A 7,645-nucleotide genomic window follows, 5' to 3' on the forward strand; every position below is an offset into this window, starting at 1 on the left:
GCTGATCTATGGTCTGTGATGCTCACCTGGTGTGAATGGGGGAGGGCCATGGTCTGTGATGCTCACTTGGTGTGGATGTAGCTGATCTTTGGTCTGTGATGCTCCCCTGGTGTGGATGGAGCTGACACATGGTCTGTGATGCTCCCCTGCTGTGTATGTAGCTCACCCACGGTCTGTGATGCTCATGTGGGTCAGGTGTGGGTATCATATGGCCTATAGTCTGAAGCTCACCTGGACCAGCTCTCGCTGCTGCTGAAACAGGGACTCACAGGCATGTCTCCCACGGAACTGTGCCTGGGTTATTTAAGGACTGTGACCACTGACCCATGGAGCTGAGAGCACTTAACTGGTGTGGAGAAAGTGGGTTTTATACATGCATGCTGTGAAAATATTTTTATATCAGAATTAGGAACTAAATGTTATAATTAAACACATCTCTCCAATTAAGTTCTTGAGCCAGCTAATTGCATGAGTCCACATAAACTTGCTTTAAAAAATAACAGTAGCCCATTTCACCTTATAGAAACTAAATTACCTCTTTAGCCACTAAGCATATACACAGATTATACCCATTAGCTTTTTATTTTTCTATCTTTACATAATGGAAATGCCTGAAAAATTGAGGGTGAAAAAAACCTCAAGGCTTGAGGTCTGGCTTGAAATTAAGTGTGTTCTGCTCATTGTCACCAATTTTGTCTTAAATTACAAGGTGCGATTTCACATAAACATGAGTGTTAGTGTCAAATTCCCCTTGTGGTCTCATCGGTATCTGCTATGTCTGCACAGCCCACAAACACAGGGCCAGGCTGGGCTCAGCATGAAATCGTGACTCTCCTATTTCTTCCTGTGTGTGAACCTGGCAAACTTTAAAAAATAGAATAAATAAAATCGCTCTGTGCCTAAGCTTCCTCATTAGAAAAGTAAAAAGAAAGGTAAAATATTCCTCCAAACATACTTTTAAGAATTAGGACAGGCGTGGTGGCTCACGCCTGTCATCCCAGCACTTTGGGAGGCCGATGCCGGGGGATCACTTGAGGTCAGCAGTTCGAGACCAGCCTGGCCAACATGGTAAAACCCTGTCTCTACTAAAAATACAAAATTAGCCAGATGTGGTGGCGGGCGCCTGTAATTCCAGCTACTCAGGAAGCTGAGGCAGGAGAATTGCTTGAACCTGGGAGGCGGAGGTTGCAGTGAGTTGAGACGGTGCCACTGCACTCCAGCCTGGAGGACACAGCGAGACTCCACGTTAAAAAATAATAAAGATAAAATAAAAAGTATGTAGCTCAACGTGTTCTTCTAGTGGGAGTGTTAAATACACAATAGCCAAGACATGGAATCAACCTATGTGTCCATCAGTATATAAGTGAATAAAGAAAACGTGGTCGTAAGACAAGGCCTGGTGGCTCACACGTGTAATCCCAGCACTTTGGGAGGCCAAGGAGGGTGGATCAGTTGAGGTCAGGAGTTTGAGACCAGCCTGGCCAACATGGTGAAACCCTGTCTCTACTAAAAATACAAAAATCAGCCCAGCGTGCTGGCGGGTGCCTGTAATCCCAGTTCCTCTAGAGGCTGAGGCAGGAGAATTACTTGAACCCAGGAGGCAGAGGTTGCAGTGAGCTGAGACCGTGCCACTGCACTCCAGCCTGGATGAGAGAGCGAGACTCTGTCTCCAAAAAACAACAACAAAAAAAGATATCTGTATACATAGATAGGTAGATACAGGTATAGATAGAGGTATATAGAGTATACTTTGATATAGATACACATAGACAAACATATGTATAGGAACAGATAGGTACAGATATTGATATACATAGGTATAGCTAAGCATAGACCTACAGATGTATCTGTAGGTATGGATGCAGATATAAATATAGAATATACTTAGATAGACACAGACATAGACATAGCTATACACAGATATAAATACAGATATCCGTGTACCTATAGCTATAATACACATAGTACAGATATTCATAGGCATATATAGGAATAGATACAGACATGAATATAAATAAGTAAAGTTAGGTGTAGCTATATGTAGACATAGGTATAGATATAGAGAAAACACTGAAGTATACTTACATATAGATATATGTAGACACAGATATAATAGGTCTGGATATATACACAATACTTTTATATACATAGAAATAAATAGGTATAAATATATAGATAAACACACAGATATATGTATGCCACGCATATACACATACATAAATTGGACAGCGTAAAATGGGGCTGGAAATTCTTCTCCTGCACATAGAGATTTAAAGAATGCTTTCAGAGACCAGGCGCGGTGGCTCACGCCTGTCATCCCAGCACTTTGGGAGGCCAAGGTGGGAGGCTCACTTGAGGTCAGGAGTTCAAGACCAGCCTGGCCAACATGGCGAAACCCCGTCTCTACTAAAAATACAAAAATTATCCGGGCGTGGTGGTGCGTGCCTGTAATCCCAGATACTCAGGAGGCTGAGGCAGGAGAATCGCTTGAACCCGGGAGGCGGAGGTTGCGGTGAGCCAAGATCGCGCCATCGCACTCCAGCCTGGGCGACAGAGGGAGACTCTGTCTCAAATAAAATAAAATAAAATAAAAACATTAAAAAATGAAAGCATGCTTTCAGGAAACATGTTGATGATTTTAAAATATGACATGTTGGGACCAAATTCTTAGAAAGCTGCAGAAGTTCACTGTGCCCCTCACTTTTTTGTGAGACTCCCCTGCATTCTCGACCCACGTTGTCTGGTAAAACTCCAAAAGTCACTCCGGGGGGTGATTGGCCCACATCGATTTATCTGGGCCAACGTGAAGGGCTCTCTGAACAATGGGCCTTGACGAGAGACCCCAGAACCTGCTCACAAAAACACTCAAACAGAACCTCGGTTCTCTCTCTCTCATGTAGAAGCACTGTGTCTCGTCCGTTTGAATTTTCCTAAAATTTCACTGGTAAATATCCACAAGGAAAAGAACACAGAACTGGCTCGGCTGCTCTGCCCCAGAGGTTGGAATAAGAAAGCTCATCTCAGTAACGTGGCCGGGACGTTCCAAGCTCTCGGGCTCAGGAAACGGGTGGTGAATTGGCAGGTGCTCAAGGGTGTCACAGATTTCGTTTTCAAAGACCAATAGTTGATTGTAGAAGGGCACCTGCCCATCTGTGAGGTTAGGCCTGGGAAACAAACCTTGTCTGCTGTTTGGGTTACGGTCACTAACTCTTCAAATCCCACGTTGAGAGAAAGAGAGAGAGAGAGAGAAAGAGGAGAGAGAAGGAGAGAGAGAAAGAGGGAAGGAGAGAGAGAAAGAGGGAAGGAGAGAGAGAGAGACAGAAGAGAGAGGAGAGAGAGACAGAGGAGAGATAGAAGGAGAGAGAGAGACAGAGGAGACAGAAGGAGAGAGAGAGACAGGGAGAGAGAAGGAGCGAGAGAGAGACAGGGAGAGAGAGGAGAGAGAGACAGAGGAGAGATAGAAGGAGAGAGAGAGACAGAGGAGACAGAAGGAGAGAGAGAGACAGGGAGAGAGAAGGAGCGAGAGAGAGACAGAGGAGACAGAAGGAGAGAGAGACAGAGGAGAGAGATGGAAGAGAGAAGGAGAGAGAGGAGAGAGAGAGAACAAGAAGGAGAGAGATAGAGACAAAGACAGAAAGAGAGAGACAGAAGAGAGAGAAGGAGACAGAGAGAGGAGAGAGAAGGAGAGAGAGGAGAGAGAGAGAACAAGAAGGAGAGAGAGACAAAGAAAGAGAGAAAGAGAGAGACAGAAGAGAGAGAAGGAGAGAGAACAAGAAGGAGAGAGATAGAGACAAAGAAAGAGAGAGAGAGAGACAGAAGAGAGAGAAGGAGAGAGAGAGAAGGAGAGAGAGAGACAGAGGAGAAAGAAGGAGAGAGATAGAGACAAAGAAAGAGAGAAAGAGAGACAGAGGAGAAAGAAGGAGAGAGATGGAGACAAAGAAAGAGAGAGACAGAGAAAGAGAGACAAAGAGAGAAACAGACAAAGACAGATAAAGAGAGAGAAAGAGACAGATAGAGACAGAAAGAGACACACAGAGAGAGATAAGGAGGGGGAGAGAGACAGAGAGAGGGAGGGAGAAAGAGAAAGAGGGAGAGAGAGAGGGAGACAGAGGAGAGAAAGAGAGAAAGAGAGACAGAGAGGGAGGGAGGGAGGGAGAGAGAGAGGGAGAGAGAGGGATGTCAGCCACGCTCGCAGCTAGCTCTGAGTGTGGTTGTGTGTGCCTCTGTGTGTGTTCCAGCTGTTCACTCCTCCACCTCTGACTGCAAATGTGTGTGTGTGTGTGTGCCTGTGTGTGTTTCCAGTATCACCGACGGAACCTCATCCACGTGTAGGGAGCTGTGCGTTTGGTTGTGTAGGTTTTTGTGTCAGTGACGTCTCGGATTATTGGTTTGCATAATAATTAGATTAGGGACATCTGGAAGTTGGTGGCAGACAGCTGTTGATGGATCCGGTTAGGCAACACCTGTGAGGTCAGGACCTGCCTGGGAGCTCCCATTCATTTCTTCACTCATTCATTCATTCAGATGCCAACACAGCCCGACTCCACTCCAAGAGCTACCGTCAGCTGCAAAGAACCATTCCCTTCCCAGACGGACCTGTAGGACCGAAACAAATAGCCACCTTCCAGCCAGGCGCGGTGGCTCGCACCTGTCCTCCCAGCACTTCGGGAGACCGAGGCGGGTGGATCCCTTGAGGTCAGGAGTTCAAGACCAGCCTGGCCAACATGGTGAAACCCCGTCTCTACTAAAAATAGAAAAACTAGCCGGGCATGTGGCACGTGTCTGTAATCCCAGCACTTTGAGAGGCTGAGGGGGGTGGATCTCCTGAGGGCAGGTGTTCGAGACCAGCCTGGCCAACATGGTGAAATCCAGGGTCTCCACAATATCTCCAGCACTAATCCTAGGAGCACTTTAGTGAGGGCCAGAATCTTGCAGCCTCCATCTACATTACTCCTAAACCATCATCTAATCTTGTGGCTAATGTTAGTCCTACAGAGGCAATCTACTCCCCAGGCAAGAAGGAGCTCTGCTTAGAGAAAGGGCTGTTATCATTTTTTTGTTTGTTTGTTTGAGACAGGGTCTCGCTGTGTTGCCCAGGCTGGTGTGTAGTGGTGCGATCTTGGCTCACTGCAACCTCCACCTCCCGGGTTCAAGTGATTCTCCTACCTCAGCCTCCTGAGTAGCTGAAACTACAGGTGTCCACCACCACACCCTACTAATTTTTGTATTTTTAGTAGAGACGGGGTTTCACCGTATTGGCCAAGCTGGTCTCGAACTCCTGACCTCAGGTGATCCACCTGCCTCAGCTTCTCAAAGTGCTGGGATTACGGGTGTGAGCCACCACGCCTGGCCAGTCAAATGCTGTGATTCTATGAGAAGGACATTTTTTTTTTTGAGATGGAATTTGGCTCCTGTTGCCCAGGCTGGAGTACAGTGATACAATCTCAGCTCACTGCAACCTCCACCTCCCGGGTTCAAGCGATTCTCCTGCCTCAGCCTCCCAAGTACCTGGGATTACAGGCACCTGCCACCATGCCCAGCTAATTTTTGTATTTTTAGTAGAGACGGGGTTTCACCATGTTGGCCAGGCTGGTCTCGAACTCCTGACCTCAGGTGATCCGCCCACCTCAGCCTCCCAAAGTGTTGGCATGACAGGCGTGAGCCACTGAGCCTGGCCAGTGAAATGCTATGATTCTATGAGGACATTTTTTTAAGTTGAATGACCTTTGAGAAGCTGTTTTCTTAGGACCTCTTTCCAGAAAAAGTAACATCAGGACAAAGCGGTGGGCGGCTGGTTTGGGGCCCAGGGAGGGGGAAGGGCTACGGCTCAGCAGCATTCCAAGTGACTTGTTTTGAAAGAAATCCCTCCGTTTGAGAGTGTGTGCAGCACAAAACCACCGTCTTCCCTCTTGAAGAAACGCCAGGCAAATAGCAGCTTCGGGCTTGTGCAAATTAAGGCATCAGTAACTTTTGCTTATACAATTTGTTGAATAAATAGGGTTGAATCTATTGAATAAATGAGTCAACATAAGCTTTGAAAACAATGTCTGAAGGCATCCTGTTAAGGTCTATTTGCATAAGTGGTTAAGCTGTGAAAGGCAGTGGCGGCAGCCTCAAGTCCTAGGGAAAAAAACAAAAAAACAAAAAAAACACAAACCATAAGCAATCAGGCAGCCCAGCTGTTTTCAAATCGTGCCCCCAAAGAGGCTCCAGAAAAACCTGTCGTTTGATTCATTCCGTGAAGACACCAGCTTCCGAGGAGCCCTTGCATGCTTCGTAGGTACATTACGGACTGAGGGTCTAAGCAAGAGCACCCAGGCTTACAGAGTGTGGCTGAGCTTTTTGTTTTACAGCCCAGAAAAGATGACACTGGCCCAAATGTTTGAAATAAAACAGGGCCGGGTGCGGTGGCTCATGCCTGTCATCCCAGCACTTTGGGAGGCTGAGGCGAGGGGATCACCTGATGTCAGGAGTTTGAGAGCAGCCTGACCAACATGGTGAAACCCCATCTGTACTAATAATACAAAAATTAGCCGGGTGTGGTGGTTGATGCCTGTACTCCCAGCTACTCAGGAGGCTGAGGGAGGAGAATGGCTTGAACCTGGGAGGCGGAGGTTGCAGTGAGCCAAGACCGCGCTGCTGCACTCCAGCTGGGGCAAGAAAGAAAGAAGGAAGGAAGGAAGGAAGGAAGGAAGGAGGGAGGGAGGGAGGGAGGGAGGGAGGGAGGGAGGAGGAAGGAAAGAAATGGACGGAAAGAAAGGGAAGGAAGGGAAGGGAAAGAAGGGAAGGGAAGGAAGGGAAGGGAAGGAAGGAAATGAAAGGAAAGGAAAGGAAGGAAGAAACAGGAGCACCAAATATTCCCTTCTAAAGTCTCTTTGTTTCCCATGTATGCATTTATTTTTTGAGATGGGGTCTTGCTATGTTGCCCAGGCTGGAGTGCAGTGGAGTCCCATCATAGCTCACTGCAGCCTCAACCCCCTGGGCTCAAAAGGATCCTCCTGCCTCAGCCTCCGGAGCAGCTGGGACTACAGGTGCATGCATCACCACACCCAGCTAATTTTTTATTTTTTGTAGAGACGGGATCTTGCTATGTGGTCCAGGCTGGTCTCCAACTGCTGAACTGAAATGATCCTCCCGTTTCAGCCTCTCCTGAGTCACTGGGACTGCAGGCACACACCACCACATACAGCTAAGTTTCTGGTTTTGTTTTTGAGACTGAGTCACACTCTGTCACCCAGGCTAAAGTGGAGTGCCGTGATCCCCACTCACTGCAACTGTTGACCTGCCCCAGGAGGCAGGACCGAGGGGGGTGATGGTGGCATAGGAGGACACTGGGAGACCTGGAGAGCTTTCTGTGGATCCAGACAAACAATGTCAATTTGGGTGTGTGTGTGCATGCATGCTAGTTTGTGTGTGTGTGTGTGCATGCATGCATGCTTGCTGGTGTGTGTGTGCGTGTGTGTATACATTGTGTCTGTGTGTATACGTACATGCTAGTGTATGTGGATGTGTATGCATGCATCTCTGTGTGTATGTATGCGTCTGTCTGTGCATGCAAGCTAGTGTGTGTTCATGCATGCTAGTGTAATTGCACACGTGTGTGCATGCTAGTGTGTGTGTATGCATCTGTGTGCATATATGTATG

The sequence above is a fragment of the Homo sapiens genome, chromosome Y (genome assembly GCF_000001405.40).
Source record: "Homo sapiens chromosome Y, GRCh38.p14 Primary Assembly".
Taxonomy (NCBI): domain Eukaryota; kingdom Metazoa; phylum Chordata; class Mammalia; order Primates; family Hominidae; genus Homo; species Homo sapiens.